Source organism: Homo sapiens, chromosome 13 (genome assembly GCF_000001405.40).
Source record: "Homo sapiens chromosome 13, GRCh38.p14 Primary Assembly".
In the NCBI taxonomy this organism is placed as follows: Eukaryota; Metazoa; Chordata; class Mammalia; order Primates; family Hominidae; genus Homo; species Homo sapiens.
Window position 1 is genome coordinate 50,749,231 of NC_000013.11, and position 18,478 is coordinate 50,767,708.

Below are 18,478 nucleotides of genomic sequence, written 5' to 3' on the forward strand. Positions count from 1 at the left end.
ATGGCCAAGTAGTAGTCCATCATATATACATATATTTATATATCTATTTTTATATATCTATATAGATGTAGATATATATCTCACAGTTTCTTTATCCACTCTTTGATTGATGGGCATTTGGGTTCTTTCCACAATTTTGCAACTGCAAATTGTGTTGCTATAAACATGCATGTGCAAGTATCTTTTTTGTATAATGACTTCTTTTCCTCTGTGTAGATACCCAGTAGGGGGATTGCTGGATCAAATGGAAGTTCTACTTTTACTTCTTTAAGGCATCTCCACACTGTTTTCCATAGTGGCTGTACTAGTTTGCATTCCTACCAGCATGTAGACATGTTCCCTGATCACTGCATCCATGCCAACATCTACTGTTTTTTGATTTTTTTTTATTATGGCCATTCTTGCAGGAGTAAGGTGGTATCACATTGTGGTTTTGATTTGCATTTTCCTGATCATTAGTAATGTTGAGCATTTTTTCATACATTTGTTTGGCCATTTGTATATCTTCTTTTGAGAATTGGCTATTCATGTCTTTAGCTCACTTTTGGATGGGATTGTTTGTTTTATTTCTTACTGATTTGAGTTCGTTGTAGATTCTGGATATTAGTCCTCTGTCAGATGTATAGATTGTGAAGATTTTCTCCAACTCTGTGGGTTGTCTGTTTACTCTGACTGTTCCTTTTGCCATGCAAAAGCTCTTTAGTTTAATTAAGTCCCAACTATTTATCTTTGTTTTTATTGCATTTGCTTTTGGGTTCTTGGTCATGAAATGCTTGCCTAAGCCAATGTCTAAAAGGGTTTTTTCAGTGTTATCTTCTAGAATTTTTATAGTTTCAGGTCTTAGATTTAAGTCCTTAATCCATCTTGAGTTGATTTTTGTATAATGTGAGAGATGAGGAACCAGTTTCATTCTCCTATATGTGGCTAGCCAATTATCCCAGCCCCATTTGTTGAAAAGAGTATCTTTTCCCCATTTTATGTTTTTGTTTGCTTTGTTGAAGATCAATTGGCTATAAGTACTTGGATTTATTTCTAGGTTCTCTATTCTATTCCATTGGTCTATGTGCCTATTTTTATGCCAGTACCATGCTGTTTTGGTGACTATAGCCTTATAGTATAGTTTGAAATCAGGTAGTGTGATGCCTCCAGATATGTTCCTTTTGCTTAGTCTTGCTTTGGCTATGCGGGCTCTTTTTTGGTTCCATATGAATTTTAGAATTTTTTTTTCTAATTCGGTGAAGAATGATGGTGATATTTTGGTGGAGATTGTGTTGAATTTGTAGATTGCTTTTGGCAGTATGGTCATTTTCACAATATTGATTCAACCCATTCATGAGCATGGGATGTGTTCTCATTTGTGTTATCTATGATTTCTTTCAAAAGCATTTTGTAGTTTTCCTTGTAGCGGTCTTTCACCTCCTTGGTTAGGTATATTCCTATGTTTTTTGTTTGTTTGTTTGTTTGTTTGCAGCTATCGTAAAAGGGGTTGAGTTCTTGATTTGATTCTCTTCTTGGTAACTGTGGTGTATAGAAGAGCTACAGATTTGTGTATATTAACCTTGTATCCAGAAACTTTGCTGAATTATCAGTTCTAGGAGCTTTCTGGAGGAGTCTTTAGGGTTTTCGAGGTAAACAATCGTATCATCAGCAAACAGGACAGTCTGACTTCCTCTTTACTGATTTAGATGCCCTTTACTTCTTTCTCTTGTCTGATTGCTCTGGCTAGGACTTTCAGTACCATATTGAAGAGAAGTGGTGAGAGTGGGCATCCTACTCTTGCTCAGCTCTCAGAGGGAATGCTTTCAACTTTTCCCCATTCAGTATTACGTTGGCTGTGGGTTTGTCATAGACAGTATTACATTGAGGTATGTCCCTTCTATGCCAATTTTGCTGAGAGCTTTAATCACAAAGGGATGCTGGATTTTGCCAAAAGCTTTTTCCACGTCTATTGAGATATCACGTGATTTTTGTTTTTAATTCTGTTTATGTGGTGTATCATATTTATTGACTTTCATATGTTAAACCATCCCTGCATCCCTGGTATGAAACCCACTTGATCGTGGTGGATTATCTTTTTGATATGTTGTTGGATTCAGTTAGCTAGTATTTTGCTAAGGATTTTAGCATCTATGTTCATCAGGCGTATCAGTCTGTAGTTTTCTTTTTTGGTTATGTCCTTTCCTGGTTTTGGTATTAGGGTGATGCTGGCCTCATAGAATGAATTAGAGAGGGTTCCCTCTTTCTCTATCTTGTGGAATAGTGTCATCAAAAGGATTGGTACCAATTCTTCTTTGAATGTCTGGTAGAATTCTGCTATGAATCCGCCTGGTCCTGGACTTTCTTTGTTGGTAATTTTTAAATTACTGTTTGAATCTCACTGCTTGTTATTGGTCTGTTCACAGTAACTAATTCCTCCTGAATTAAGCTAGGAGGGCTCTATTTTTCCAGAAGTTTATCCATCACTTCTAGGTTTGCTAGTTTATATGCATAAAGGTGTTCATAGTAGCCTTGAATGATTTTTTGTATTTCAGCGATGTCAGTTATAATATCTCCCATTTCGTTTCTTACTGAGGTTATGTGGATTTTCTCTCTTCTTTTCTTGGTTAACCTTGGTAATGGTCTATCAATTTTATTTATCTTTTCAAAGAACCAGCTTTTTGTTTCATTTATCTTTTGTATTTTTTTTTGTTGTTGTTTCAATTTCATTTAGTTCTGCTCTGATCTTGGTTACTTCCTTTCTTCTGCTGCATTTTGGTTTGGTTTGTTCTTGTTTCTCTAGTTCCTTGAGGTGTGACTTTGTGTCAGTTTGTGCTCTTTCAGTCTTTTTTTTTTTTTTTTTGAGATGGAGTCTTGCTCTTTTGCCCAGGCTGGAGTGCAGTGGCACAATCTCGGCTCATTGCAAGCTCTGCCTCCCAGGTTCAGGCCATTCTCCTGCCTCAGCCTCCCTAGTAGCTGGGACTACAGGCGCCCACCACTACTCCTGGCTAATTTTTTGTATTTTTAGTAGAGACGGGGTTTCACCATGTTAGCCAGGATGGTCTCAATCTCCTGACCTCGTGATCCACCCATCTCGGCCTCCCAAAGTGCTGGGATTTCAGGTGTGAGCCACCGTGCCAGGCCTTTTTTAGTCTTTTTGATGTAGGCGTTTAGGGCTATGAACTTTCCACTTAGCACCACCTTTGCTGTATCCCAGAGGTTTTGATAGGTTGTGTTGTGTCCGGAATTGGTGGGTTCTTGGTCTCACTGACTTCAAGAATGAAGCCGTGGACCCTCGCGGTGAGTGTTACAGTTCTTAAAGGCGGCGTGTCCAGAGTTTGTTCCTTCTGATGTTCGGATGTGTTCAGAGTTTCTTCCTTCTGGTGGGGTTCGTGGTCTCGCTGGCTCAGGAGTGAAGCTGCCGACCTTCACGGTGAGTGTTACAGCTCTTAAGGCGGCGCGTCTGGAGTTGTTCATTCCTGCCAGTGGGTTCGTGGTCTCGCTGGCTTCAGGAGTGAAGCTGCAGACCTTCGTGGTGAGTGTTATAGCTCATAAAGGCAGTGTGGACCCAAAGAGTGAGCAGCAACAAGATTTATTGCAAAGAGTGAAAGAACAAAGCTTCCACAGTGTGGAAGGGGACCCAAGCGGGTTGCCACTGCTGGCTCAGGCAGCCTGCTTTTATTCTCTTATCTGGCCCCACCCACATCCTGCTGATTGGTAGAGCCAAGGGGTCTGTTTTGACAGGGCACTGATTGGTGCCTTTACAATCCCTGAGCTAGACACAAAGGTTCTCCTCGTCCCCACCAGATTAGCTACATAAAGAGTGTTGACACAAAGTTTCTCCAAGTCCCCACCACAGTACCTAGATACAGAGTGTCGATTGGTGCATTCACAAACCCTGAGCTAGACAGAGTGCTGATTGGTGTGTTTACAAACCTTGAGCTAGATACAGAGTGCCGATTGGTGTATTTACAATCCCTTAGCTAGACATAAAGGTTCTCCACATCCCCACCAGACTCAGGAGCCCAGCTGGATTCACCCAGTGGATCCCGCACCAGGGCTGCAGGTGGAGCTGCCTGCCAGTCCCACGCCATGCACCTGCACTCCTCAGCCCTTGCGTGGTCAATGGGACTGGGCGCCCTGGAGCAGGGGGCGGCGCTCGTTGGGGAGGCTCGGGCTGCACAGGAGCACACGGAGGGGGTGGGAGGCTCAGGCATGGCGGGCTGCAGGCCCCGAGCCCTGCCCCGTGGGAAGGCAGCTAAGGCCTGGCAAGAAATTGAGCACAGCACTGGTGGGCCGGCTCTGCTGGGGGACCCAGTACATCCTCCACAGCCGCTGGCCCGGTTGCTAAGCCCCTCATTGCCCGGGGCCAGCAGGGCAGGCCAGCTGCTCTGAGTGGAGTCCCCCGAGCCCACGCCCACCCGGAACTCGCACTGGCCCGCAAGCACCGTGCGCAGCCCCAGTTCCCACTCAGGCTTCTCCCTCCACACCTCCCTGCAAGCTGAGGGAGCCAGCTCAGGCCTTGACCATCCCAGAAAGGGGCTCCCACAGTGCAGCGGTAGGCTGAAAGGCTCCTCAAGTGCCGCCAAAGTGGGAGCCCAGGCAGAGGTGCCAAGAGCGAGCGAGGGCTGCAAGGGCTGCCAGCACACTGTCACCTCTCAGTGTCATTATTGTCGTTCAGTTTGAAGAATTTTTTAATTTCCATCTTGATTTCGTTTTTTGACCAAGTGCTCATTCAGGAGCAGGTTATTTAATTTCCATGTATTTGCATGGTTTTGAAGGTTCCTTTTGGAGTTGATTTCCAGTTTTTTCCCACTGTGGTCTGAGAGAGTGCTTGATATAATTTCAATTTTCTTAAATTTATTCCAGCTTATTTTATGGCCTATCATATGGTCTATCTTAAAGAAGGTTCCATATGCTGTTAAATAGAATGTGTATTTGCGATTATTGGATGAAATGTTCTGTATATATCTGTTAAGTCCATTTGTTCCAAGGTAGTTTAAATCCATTGTTTCCTTGTTGAGTTTCTGTCTTGACGACCTGTCTAGTGCTATCAGTGGAGTATTGAAGTCCCCCACTATTATTGTGTTGCTGTCTATCTCATTTCTTAGGTCTATTAGTAATTGTTTTATAAATTTGGGAGCTCCAGTGTTAGATGCATATATGTTTAGGATTGTGATATTTTCCTGTTGGACAAGGCCTTTTACCATTATATAATATCCCTCTTTGTCTCTTTTAACTGCTGCTGCTTCAAAGTTTGTTTTGTCTGAAATAAGAATAGCTATCTCTGCTCCCTTTTGGTGTCCATTTGCATAAAATGCCTTTTTCCACCCCTTTACTTTAAGTTTATGTGAGTCCTTATGTGTTAGGTGAGTCTCCTGAAAGCAGCAGATAGTTGGTCAGTGAGTTCTTATCTATTCTGCAGTTCTGTATCTTTTAAGTGGAGCATTTAAGCCATTAACATCCAGTGTTAGTATTGAGATATGAAGTACCATTGCATTCATTGTGCTATTTGTTGGCTGTGTACCTTGGTTTTTTTGTTTTTGCTTTTTAAATTGTATTTTTGTATTATAGGTCCTGTGTGATTTATACCTTAAAGAGGTTCTGTTTTGATGTGTTTCCAGGATTTGCTTCAAGATTTAGAGCTCCTTTTAGCAGTTCTTGTTGTAGTGGTTTGGTAGTGGCGAATTCTCTCAGCATTTGTTTGTCTGAAAAAGACTGTATCTTTCCTTCATATGTGATTCTTATCTTCACTGGATACAAAATTCTTGGCTGAAAATTGTTTTGCTTGAGGAGGCTGAAGATAGGGCCCCAATCTCTTCTAGCTTGCAAGGTTTCTGTTGAGAAATCTGCTGTTAGTCTGATAGGTTTTCCTTTATAGGTTAACTGGTGCCTTTGTCTCATAGCTCTTAAGATTCCTTCCTTCGTCTTAACTTTAGATACCCTGATGACAATGTGTGTAGGTGATGATCTTTTTGTGATGAATTTCCCAGGTGTTCTTTGTGCTTCTTGTATTTGAATGTCTATGTCTCTAGCAAGGCTGGGAAAGTTTTACTCTATTATTCCCCCAAATATGTTTTCCAAACTCTTAGATTTCTCTTCTCCCTCAAGAACACCGATTATTCTTAGGTTTGGTTGTTTAACATAATCCCAGACTTCTTGGAGGCTTTGTTCATATTTTCTTATTCTTTTTTCTTTGTCTTTGTTATATTGGGTTAATTTGAAGACCTTGTCTTTAAGCTCTGAATTTCGTTCTTCTACTTGTTCAATTCTATTGCTGAGACTTTCCAGAACATTTTGTATTTCTATAAATGTGTCCAATGTTTCCTGAAGTTTTTATTGCTTTTTTTTATGCTATCTATTTCCTTTAATATTTCTCCCTTCACTTCTTGTATCACTTTTCAGATGTCCTTGCATTGGGCTTCGCCTTTCTCTGGTGCCTCCCCAATTAGCTTAATAACTAACCTCCTGAATTCTTTTCCAGGTAAATCAGGGATTTCTTCTTGGTTTGTATCCATTGCTGGTGAGCTAATGTGATTTTTTTTTGAGGGGGGGGGCACGGTATTAAAGAACTTTGTACTTTGTTTTGCCATATTACCAGTGTTGTTTTTCTGCTTCCTTTTCATTTAGGTAGGCTCCGTCAGAGGCAAGGTCTAGGGCTGAAGGCTGTTGTTCAGATTCTTTTGTCCCATGGGGTGTTCCCTTGATGCAGTACTCTCCCCCTTTTCCTATGGATGTGGCTTTTTGTGAGCCAAGCTGCAATGATTGTTATCTCTCTTCTGGGTCTAGCCACCCAGCAAGTCTCCCCACCTCCAGGCTGGTACTGGGGGTTGTCTGCACAGAGTCCTGTGATGTGAACTGTCTATGGGTCTCTCAGCCACGGATACCAGCACCTGTTCTGGTGGAGGTTGCAGGGGGGTGAAATGGACTCTGTGAGGGTTCTTAGCTTTTTGGTGGTTTAATGTTCTATTTTTGTGCTGGTTGGCCTCCTGCCAGGAGGTGGCACTTTCCAGAGAGCATCAGCTGTGGTAGTATGGAGAGAAACAGGTGGTGGGCGGGGCCCTAGAACTCCCAAGAGTATACGCCCTTTGTCTTCAGCTGCCAGAGTGAATAGGGAAGGCCCATCAGGTAGGGGCAGGACTAGGCATGTCTGAGCTCAGACTCTCCTTCGATGGGTCTTGCTGTGGCTGCTGTGGGAGATGAGGGTGAGGTTCCCAGGTCAATGGAGTTGTGTACCTAGAAAGATTATGGCTGCCTCTGCTGAGTCATGCAGGTTGTCAGGGAAGTGGGGGAAAGCCGACAGTCACAGGCCTCATTCAGCTCCCACACAATTCAGAGGGCCGGTCTCCCTCTCACTGTGACCCGCTAACAACCCTGAGGCTGTTTCCAGGCAGTGGGCCGAGCAGGGCTTGAGAACTTGCCCCAGGCTACCTGCCTCCCAGCTGTGAAAGAACACAGCTTTTGTTCTTCCCCTGCCTGTGGAGTCTACACACCAGATTTGCACCCTCCCCTGATTTCCGGCCAGGAAGCTTCTTTCTGGGTTCAAATTTTTTCAAATTTCAGCTGGAGACTTCCTTCTTCCTGTGGTGTTTTCCCCCATACCTCTGGCTGCCCTCCCGAAGGATCCCTGTCATGCCAGGCAGGAATAGCCTGCTTGGGGACCCAGCGAGCTCCTGGGGCCTTTCCCGCTGCTTCCTCTACCCCTGTATTTTGCTGGGCTCTCTAAATTGGCTGAGCTCCAGGTAAGGTTGGAAACTTCTCCCGCAAATTAAGCCTTCTTTTATTTACTCCAGTGAGGGTGTGTGTTCAGGAGCGGAGGGTTTCCCTTTCCCACTTCTGCAGTTTGGGCACTCACAGTATTTACAGTGTCTTCCAGGTCCTGCAGGAGCAGTCCGCTTCTTTCAGAGGGTCTGTGGATCCTCTCAGGATTTCTGGTTTATTCTTGTCATTCTGGAGCTAAAATTCATGATGCAAGCCTCTGCACACTGCTCTGTCCATCTGAGTCAGAGCTGCAATCTAGTCCTGCCTCCCATCTGCAATGATGATCTTTTGTTGTTGTTGTTTTTTTAAAGAAATTAGCAACACAAAAGTGAGGCAGACGAACTAGTTGGGCTTCTAACTCAGCACCCAGATATAAACAAATTTAGTCATAGGAACCTTGACTTCAATTAATCTTCTCTGGTCATAATTCTTCTTGACTTATTCTCTGCTAATCTGCCATGCTAGGTTTATTGATAGACATCCAAAATGATCAGAGATTCTGAGATGTTACTTTTTCATTTCTGCTGCATGGCATTCTAGAGTTTCCCCACCAGCCAAACCAATGCAAAACTTGACTTTGTAAACTCGAGCGCTCACACCTTCAGTCTAGGTTTGTTTCTCCTGGCACACTATTCGTCATGCTTGTTACTGCAATCGATTTCTATTTTCCTCTAAACCTCCATCTTTCAGGCTGAACTTGATCACAGGCTGAGTGGATGGGTAGGGGATAGAATATGGAAATGTTTCTCTTTCTAAATGTGATTATAAAATAGGAATTTGTTATATCTTTTTCAGGCATATCCACAGCTCTTCAAATAAGCAATGTGATGTTAGCAAAAGTGCAGGGGCTCCTTGAGAACTTTCCAGGGCTAACCAGCTGCTGAGGAGTGGCCTCCAGGAAAGAGAGAAGCACTCTGATTCAGGCAGTGATTTACACCTAAAATACCAACTCCATCATATCTTCAGAACAATTCTTCTAGACCTTGCATCTAAATATGGTAAGTGTGAAATATATTTTATACCTAACTTGGTCCCCAGTATTATTTTCATTACCAAGATTTTTTTTTTTTTTTTTTTTTTTTTGAGATGAGGTTTAGCTATGTTGCCCAGGTTGGTCTCAAATTGCTGGCCTTAAGCAATCCTCCCACCTCAGCCTCCCAAAGTGGTAGAATTACAGGTGTGAGTCACTACACCTGGCCCCAAGATGTATTTTTAACCATAATTGGAGCAAGCAACATGTTTAATGGGGAAAATAGATAATTTTTGAATTTTGTGATTTGGAAGCTTATTGTTAACAGTGCTAAAGAAACGTTAAAAACACTCCAAAATGTGTCTTTAAGACTGTGGTACACATTGATCAAAGTGAGAAGATAACCAGTTAATTAAGGTTTCTTTTGTCCTTATTTCACTCTTGTATTAGTTATCCACTGCTGCATAACAAATGGCCCCCAAAGTGAGCAGTGTAAAAAAAATTTATTATGTCAGTTTCACAGTATTCACAGTTTCCGTGAGTCAGGAATCCCAGTATTTCTCAGCTGGGTGCCTCTGGCTCAGTAGCTTTCATGAAGCTGCAGTTAAGCAGTCACTTAGGGCTGGGGCTGTGGGGCTGTGGTCTCCACTGAAGACTCCACCGGGGGAAGTCAGCTCTAAGCCCACTTACCTGCTGGTTGCCAGGCCTCATGGGCAGTTGGACAGAGGGCTCTATTTCCCACTGTTGGCTGAAGGCCTCCCTCAGTTCCTTGTCACATGAACCTCTCCACAGGGCTGACTATAAACACAACTGGCTTTCTCCAGAGTGAGGGATGAGAGAGAAGGAGAAAGAGGATACTCAAGAAAGAAGCCATAGTCTTTTTATGACTAAATCTCAGGAGTGGCACTCCTTTACTTAGCTATTGTTTTCTATTCACTGGAAGTGAGTCACTATGTCCAGCCCACATTCAAGGGGAGAAGATTGCAGAAGGAAGCAAGGATAATTGGAGCCCATCTTAGGCTTACCACAGCCCCCATTTCCAAATATTTTAATGTGTAATCCTCAATGGAGAATGTCTTGAACTAGTGTCACTGAGATTCTTCAATCATTAGCTACCACAAGAAAATCGGAATTCCTTTGAAAATTCATTTCAAACTAGTTCATCCAATTTGCAAACACATTCCCTTAGACAGGGGTTGATTTATTCCTCATCTTTGTAACCTCCTTTTCCACTCCCCCCATATACATATTTTCCATTTTAAGCCTAGTCTATCAGCTTCATTTAGAGATATCTGGAAGGAACAAAGAAACAAACACAAAAATATCTGACTGACATAACATACTAGCTGTATGGCTTCAGTAAAATCACTTAACTATTATGGGTCTTGGTTCCTTCATCTACTGGAAGAATGGCTTGATCCCAATGATCTCTTAGGCCTCCCACAGATTTAGAAGTTTATGAGATTTTGATTCCATGTGTGTAAACTAGGGATGGAACTAAATGTGTGGCAGAAATAAAGACTTCAGAGGTCTATAGTGAAAGTTAAATGAATAAGTTTTGGGAGTTTTATGAAGCACTTTGTACACTCTAAAGTCCTATGCACATGTAAGGGCTTATTCTTATTTAGCCCTTATCATGAATAGATCAGGGCAGAAGGGCACAGTAGTGATAGTAGTCTTCTTATTCAGCTAGTCAGGTGGCCCCCAGTGTCACTCTCTTAGATCCATTCTTTCCCAGTGGAAAAACACCAGGAAGGGAGTCAGCAGAGGAAGTGACCCAGTGGAAGAAGTGACCCGTGAGGGAAATATTGGACCTATTTTAGATTCTCAGTGTGCTAAGAACTCAGGGGGCTTCTGTGACTTCTCTGAGTTACCCTGGATCTCCACGTACACTCTTTGGCCACCCCTCCACAGCAAGAACTTCTCTCCTGGAGCCCAGTCCTGCAAATTCTCTCTTCCCTCTGCCAGCCACCTTCCATCCTTTGGACCCTCCCTTCTGAGATCCTACTATTCCTTGGATAGTGACCCCCCATGTAGCTCATCAGTCAGTGTCAGCTCTACCTGGTTCCATAGCAAATTGCTAAATATGAGGTCTTTTACGTATTCTTGAGTATACACTTTATGCATACAAAAGATCATTCAGGGGTTTGGTCTGGTTTTTAGACAGCAATGTTAGATTTATTCAAGCTCTATATTTAAAAATGCAATTCATATTTAGGCTTTTGTGTTCATCTTATAAATCCTATTTTACTTGTAAAATAAAAACTTCTGCCAAATTTTAGCAATCACAGTTAAGGATCCCTTGAATAATATTTGGTCTCATTTTATAAAGCAAGCTAATTAAACATCTTTGAATACTTTCAATTACACTTACAAATATAAGTACTTTTAAGCACTTCAGTATTCTTTTTTTTGGTGGGAGCTGGGGGCAATGGGAGGGCAGGGACAGGGTCTCACTCTGTTGCCCAGGCTGGAGTTCACTGGCATGATCATAGTTCACAGCAGCCTCAAACTCGTGGGCTCAAGCAATCCTCCTGCCTCAGCCTCACAAGTCGCTAGGATTACAGGCATGTGCCACCAGGTCTGGCTAACTTTTGTATTTTTTGTAGAGATGAGGGTCTTGCTATGTTGACCAGGCTGGTCTCAAACTCCTGGCCTCAAGTGATCCTTCTGCCGTGGCTTCCCAAGTGTTGGGATTACAGGCGTGAGCCACTGTGCCTGGCCCAATTTTCTAATAGTAAAACTTCCCATGCATGTAAGTATTTACTGAAAATTTAATCAAGCAAATTTCTAAATGTGATGAATCTTAAATTTAAGAAAATGTTCATATATTGTTTATAAATTTAGTAAATACATTAGCCAGTATAGGTTAGGCTATGGTATGATAGCAAATAAGCCTGAAATCTTGATGGCTTAAATGTGTCAAAGAGAATTCAGCCTCATCAGATACCCCTGGCAGTCAGAGTGGGGCCTATGATTCATTTGGGGCAATGAAAATTTGTGGTATTTCCAAGTAGAAGCAGTCAAGAACAGCATGTCTCCTCCATCTCTCCTTTTCTTGTGAAAGTGACTTGGATGGTGCAGCCACTGGATGGGGGAGGCCATGTGGTCCACACTGTATTTGCCTGAAGGAGAAACACACCTGGATTGTGTTGTGAGAGACCATGAAAGACTGAATTGTCCACTGGGGATCCCGTCCTTGCTCAGAAAAAATCAACCAGAGCACCATTCATATCAGCTTTTATTCAAAAATACCAGGCATGAGAAGGATCCAAAGGGGCGTTGTAACTTGGGGAAGGAGGGCAGAATGTTTTATAGAGCTTTAGCAGGAAGGTGTCAGCTGAAGTTCAGCCATCGGCAGCAGTGGTTTGTCAAAAGAGTTTGAGAAGGGGGACGAATTGTTTTAGTGAATTAGCAGTGATGATTTGAGTGATCTGAATTTTATCAAAAGGGGTGGAGTGGAACAGTTAGGGGCTAATGTCATGTGCAAAAAAAAGAGGGAAGAGGAAACCCAGCTGTTGGGGCAAGGACATGTGGGATCCCTAGTGGACAATTCAGTCTTTCATGCTGTCTCACAACATGATCCAGGTGTGTTTCTCCTTCAGGCAAATACAGTGTGGATCACATGGCCTCTCCCATCCAATGCCTGCACCAACCAGGTCGCTTTCACAAGGAAAGGAGAGATGGAGGAGACATGCCTGCTCTTGATGCTTCTACTTGGAAGTACCACAAGTTTTCATTGCCCCAAATGAATCATGGGCCCCAATCTGACTGCCAGAGGCATCTGGTGAGGCTGAATTCTCTTTGACACATTAAAGTTTTATCTAAAACCACAAGTCTAAATCAAAAAGTATTCAATTATGCCTCTTAAATGGGCATTTTAAAGCTGACCTGTTATTCTAATAGGCAATTTCTTTAAAACATTAATGAAATATACCAAATAAGTAGAGATTCTTAACTTGAAAATATTGGGCCGGGCACGGTGGCTCACGCCTGTAATCCCAGCACTTTGGGAGGCCGAGGTGGGTGGATCACAGGGTCAGGAGTTCAAGACCTGCCTGGCCAAGATGGTGAAACCCCATCTCTACTAAAAATACAAAAAAAATTAGCCAGGCGTGGTGGTGGGCACCTGTAATCCCAGCTACTCGGGAGGCTGAGGCAGAGAATTGCTTGAGCCCGGGAGGCGGAGGTTGCAGTGAGCCAAGATCGCACCACTGCACTCCAGCCTGGGTGACAGAGCGAGACTCGTCTCAAAAAAAAAAAAAAAAAAAAAAGAAAAGAAAATATCAGTGATACAGTTTTGATTCTCTAAAAGACTTATATGTTTAGTTCTGTGTCTTCCCAGGGTTTCTGACTATGCAATGTTTGGGGATTACGACTATCACAAGCAGGGATTTTAGCCAGGATGCTGACTGCATGAATTAATGCCTACTCCTGGAGCATTATAATTAAAATACAGACTTATCATTCTCAGAATCTAGACAGCTCATATCCCTGCTGTGCTCACGGAACAGGGTAAAGCCCAGGTCGGAACCTATCCTGGCTGCTGCCTCACTATTATGGGTGGCATTTCTTTGCCTCTCAAGGCCTACAAATGTCTTTTTCATCTAAATCCAATAGCTTTGAACTTGATGGAAGCTTGCATTCTTTTCACAACTTTTATGGGTGTCAACACATTAAATGGAGGAGAAAGAAAGAAGCTGTATACATCTTGAAGGCGGGGATTAAAGGAGAAGATGCCACCAAGGTGGTTTAAGAATGGAACTCTTCCTACCCCAGGCCACCCCACAAAACAAAACAAAAAAACAACAAAAACACACTCTCACACTGAAGAGGTTAATCTCCTGCCCTTTATTGTGCTAGAAAAAAAAAAAAAAAAAGCAACAGCCGCCTCCCCAAGATTACAAAAAGTCCCCCTGCATCCAGGAAAGATCTGCATCCAGGAAGGGATGTTGCAGGGAGAGAAAGAATCACAGGTGAAAAGATAAAGTTCTTCCCACCAGTGTGCCTCCAACTGGTGGAGAGAAAGTGCCCTGCAGACCCACAAGTGCATATGTAATGGTAGCCCTAGGTCTGCTTGGGTCTTTAGGAAAGGAGACAACACCAGAGAGGTGGGAAGGCAGCTGCCTGGCAGTTAATTAAAGGAGAGCAGGAGAGATCACCAACTGCACGCAGAGGGACAATGATGTGTGAGATGCAGAGGGGTGTGAGATCAAGCAGCAGCTCGGTACTGCTGTGGCACTGATGTCCTGGGGACGCTGGGGAGGGCTCGAGTTATGAAGGATCCCATTCATTGTAATAAGGAGGCTGGATCTAGTCCTAAAAGAGATTGGGAACCACTAACAAATGTTAAGCAGAGAACTATGATCACATTTGCATTTTAGGAAAATCAGTCTAGTGTGAACAGCAGGGCAGGAGAGCTGGCTGAAGACAGGAAGCCCTATCAGAAGACTGCTCTGCAGTTATTCAAGTAAGACATGATGAGGGCCTGCATCAGAAATCAAGCCTGTGCAGATGGAAGAAGAAAATGAACCATGCTTTAAGAAGATGAACATAGAAAGAAAAGTGCAAGACCCTGGGTGAAGCAAGAATGTTCAGAGTCAGGAGTTAGGGAGATCATGTGAGTGCCCTAAACAGCAAAGTGGGAAACAGAACTGTCAGAAAATTCTGCAATTCACAGAAAATAGAATTCACCTCTGAATGAAATACTCAGCCAGCCACACTGCCCTTCCTGCCCTGACCCTTTTGACATGTCTTTTACCAATCCTAGCTCCCGGATCTGCCCTGCAGGCTTCCCAGTGACCTGGCCCAGCCCCATCTTCCTTTCAGAATCAGCCCCGTCACTGACTTGCTGTCTGACCAGAAGCCAACCCCATCATCACTCCAGATCCCAGTTTCCACATCTGTAAACTGCAAACAACACTAGTATTTCCCAGGATTGCTGTGGGGACTAAGTGAGACAGTGTCTGTGAAAACACCTGATAAATGTCTGTAAAGCACCATAAAATGGGAGGTGCTGTTACTGATGAAACAAAGTAAGAGACAATATTAAAGAAGAGACAGGCGGAAAGGCTGTGTTTATAGTCCCGCACTGCATTTAAGGCACTGCAGGTAGAGTGTACTAGAACGCACATGGGCTTTGGACTTGGCCAGACCTGGGTTTGAATCCTGGTTTCAGCACTGTCGCGCTCTGTGATCTTGAACAAGTCCACTCACCCCTCTGAGTCTCCATTCCTTCATCTATAATATAAGAATTCCTCCCTTACAGTGTTTTGTGAGAATTAAAGAGTTAACACATTACAAGTTGCATCATAACATATAATCATTCATAGTTGCTTCTGTGAACTCCATAAAAGGAGTTCAACAGTCTTGGTTTCCTTCTTCCACTCCTATATTATTTCTTCCTGAAAAATAATATAGTTCCACCAGAAGCTCATCTTTTCTGAACTGGTCTGAAGTTTTGTGTTCTTCCTCCCATTTCCAGGAGTCATTAACTAACAACGAACAAAACCTCTGGATGGCCGAAGGACCTAGGCTATACAGAAAGCTGTGAATTACCAATGAGAACGCAGTGAGTCAAAAGAATAATGGAATTAAATAAGTTCAGAGGCTTTAAGTGTTTCTTAAAACACTTATCTATGAACCCCTAATCTTAGTCATTTCTGGCACAGTTGTTATTCATAAGCATTTGATCATCATTCATAGAAGACTGAACAAATTAACACAATGGATTGTCTTGGAGATGAAGGGGCAGTGTACTATTCCATTTAGCTTGTTCAGGGAACTTGAGTCAAATCCCTTGAGTGTTCACTCCATCAGATAGTCCATGAAATGCTGATGAAGATATAACAATTATCCATAAAGTTAGAGTGTTCACTAATTAAGAATACTGAAGAATGAAGTATATTAAATGGGTCATGTTGCACCTTTTTTGGGTTTGTTTTGTTTTGTTTTGTTTTGTTTGAGACAGAGTCTCACTCTGTTGCCCAGGCTGGAGTGCAGTGGGGCAATCTCGGCTCACTGCAACTTCTGCATCCTGTGTTCAAGCAATTCTTCTGCCACAGCCTCCAAAGTAGCTGGGATTACAGGCACGCACCATCATGCCTGGTAAATTTTTGTATCTTTAGTAGAAACAGGGTTTCACCTTGTTGGCCAGGCTGGTCTCTAACTCCTGACCTCAGGTGATCCACCTATCTCAGCCTCCCAAAGTGCTGAGATTACAGGCATGAGCCACTGCCATGTTGCACCTTAGAATGAATTTGTGTTTGTGATGTAGAGGAGAATTTATTCAAAATTAAGAATCACTAAAGACAGGGTATTATTAGGAAATGAAAAATGGCTTTTACTCCAATGACTCAAATAGCACTGCATCCTTCACATTAATAAGATGTTTCTACATGGAGGACTTTAGAAAGCGAAGCCTGAAGGGTGCAGACAGGGGAAGGAAAAAGGAAGATAAATGGAAGAAGACAAGGGAAGAGAAAATGAGGAGGAAGGAGAAAGAAGAGGAGGAAGGAGAAAGAAGAGGAGGGAAGGAAGTTTGGAAGAGGCTGGAAGAATTTGTTTTCTCCACATTCTGGTTCCCAACTTGGTCCTCTTCTGGCAATAATCAGGCCCTGGGGGAGAGAAGAGTAAAAGACAGAAAGGGCAAAGAAGAGAATAAAATAAACAGATAGAAAGGAAGAAGACCAGGAGAAATGTGAAGGAGGAAAGAAGAAATGTAGAAGACACCGAGAACACAGATATGTTAAAATGACACTAGAATGAAAGTTAAGCTTAGTTCAGCAAAAGTTTTGAACCCCTCACATGTGCCAGGCACTGTACTGGGAGCCAGCAATATGAAGATGAAGGAGACATGGCCATTGTTGTGGAGGCACTCAACAGGGAAGAACCAAGGTTGAGAAGACAGCAAGTGAAGGCCAAGAAAACTTGCATTGCGTGGATTATTTGGAGGCTCAAAAGGGGTCAAATGCTTTTTCTCTAAGCACTTTTAGTGATGAATTCCCATTTCATCTAATGTGGTTTCTACTTGACATTAGCTTTTGGACTTTTTCAGAAGATTTCTTAAATGTACTCTTTAGTAGGAGGGTTGGGGGTGGGGTGGAGAGAAAAGGATGCGTGTAGCTTTGCCTCAGCAAGTTTCATTCCCCTTCCAAACAGATGTTGTCTGGCTAGAGCAACACAGCATAAAACATGACTACTGGATTTGGCACAAAATGTACCAATTAACCTATGTTGATTAAGTCATGTAAAAGCAACAGGGCTCACTGAGCATTGGATGCTGTTTAAAGAAGGATACTGTCAGCCCAAATTGCTCACTCCCATCACGTTCGGCATCATGTTCAGCACAGCTGCAGCGGCTGCACTCCACCCGTCTCCTTGTCTCCTCACCCAGCCTGGAGCCCTGCAGGCTCGTGCTGGGCTCTTAGCAGACTGCAAACATGGAAGATGAACCCAAGATTCAGCTACTCCTAGTATGTCTGCTTTGAAATAATGAGAATAAGAGAATAAATGGTCTCTTTCCTTGTCTTCCTTCTCTTCCTACTCCTCCTCTTAATCTCCCCTTCCTCTTCTTTCTCCTTCCACACCACTTACCAAACTTCGGGAATCTCTCTCTTTCCCTCATCATCACTCCTTTCTCCTCCTCTTCTCTTACTTTTCCCTCTGTTCAGCACCTTCTCTTTATGCTGGTGACAGGCTCAGGAGTCCCTACATTCCCTAGGCCTAGGGAATTGGCTTTCCAACTGTTCATGAGAAATCCCTGCACAGCCAGTTTAAACTCAGGCAGGCAGGCCCCACTGCTTATGCCTATAATTAAAGAAGTTTGGAGCATGGCCTAAGACTCGACACACTTGACATCCCACCCCCCACGCCCCACCCCTGCCAGTGATTCTGATACAGGTGCTGTACATACAGAACCCTGGGAAATGCTGGCCAAACACACAGAGCAACACTGGTGTGCACAGCCAGAAGACAGCTGGAGTGGAGACTTGTCTCCCCTGGGTCTGTGTCCTGGTTTTTCTCCTGCCTGTCTGAACCCTCATCATTGGCTCCTTTTCCTTTGCCCACTACTTAGACGTTGCTAGTTTCCAGGGTTCTATTCACAGTCCATTTCTGTTATCCTACACACTATCCCTGATGGCTTTCATCCACTTCTGTAAATGAGAACAACATCTATACATTGAAGGCTGAAATGTTTATTTCTAGCCCAGAGCTTGTTTCAAAACTCCAGACGTGGCCGGGCGCGGTGGCTCACGCCTGTAATCCCAGCACTTTGGGAGGCCGAGGCGGGCAGATCATGAGGTCAGGAGATCGAGACCATCCTGGCTAACACAGTGAAACCCCGACTCTACTAAAAAATACAAAAAATTAGCCGGGCGTGGTGGCGGGCGCCTGTAGTCCCAGCTACGCGGGAGGCTGAGGCAGGAGAATGGCGTGAACCCGGGAGGCGGAGCTTGCAGTGAGCCGAGATCGCGCCACTGCACTCCAGCCTGGGCGACAGAGCGAGACTCCGTCTCAAAAAAAAAAAAAAAAAAAAAAACTCCAGACATGCATTTCCACCTGGATGTTCATGGTAAGCTCAGGCTTACCATGCTCAAGACTTAGTTCATGGGACCATGGTTCAAGAGGGAGAAGCATACTGAACCCTGTCTGTCTTCCCCAGTGGAGCTCTAGCACCTGGGACAGCTATTGTAGGACTCTGGAAGTTGGAAAATAGGACCAGAATTCAAGGCATCACCAAATAGGTGGTGAGCTTCCCACTTTTCCTCC

General features: G+C 43.5%; 1 protein-coding gene across 1 annotated transcript in view, besides 3 other annotated features; it reads right to left on the reverse strand.

Moving 5' to 3' along the window:
* DLEU7 (deleted in lymphocytic leukemia 7) overlaps positions 1 to 18,478 on the reverse strand; it is a 132,914-nt gene that overhangs the window by 38,205 nt on the left and 76,231 nt on the right. The window lies entirely within an intron of this gene.
* Positions 7,003 to 7,052: an enhancer, noted in NCBI's record as "active region_7764". NCBI's record gives its function as "activates an Ori minimal core promoter by ATAC-STARR-seq in GM12878 lymphoblastoid cells {active_cell/tissue: GM12878}" and the evidence as "EXISTENCE:reporter gene assay evidence [ECO:0000049][PMID:35858748]".
* Positions 7,083 to 7,132: an enhancer, noted in NCBI's record as "active region_7765". NCBI's record gives its function as "activates an Ori minimal core promoter by ATAC-STARR-seq in GM12878 lymphoblastoid cells {active_cell/tissue: GM12878}" and the evidence as "EXISTENCE:reporter gene assay evidence [ECO:0000049][PMID:35858748]".
* Positions 7,163 to 7,272: an enhancer, noted in NCBI's record as "active region_7766". NCBI's record gives its function as "activates an Ori minimal core promoter by ATAC-STARR-seq in GM12878 lymphoblastoid cells {active_cell/tissue: GM12878}" and the evidence as "EXISTENCE:reporter gene assay evidence [ECO:0000049][PMID:35858748]".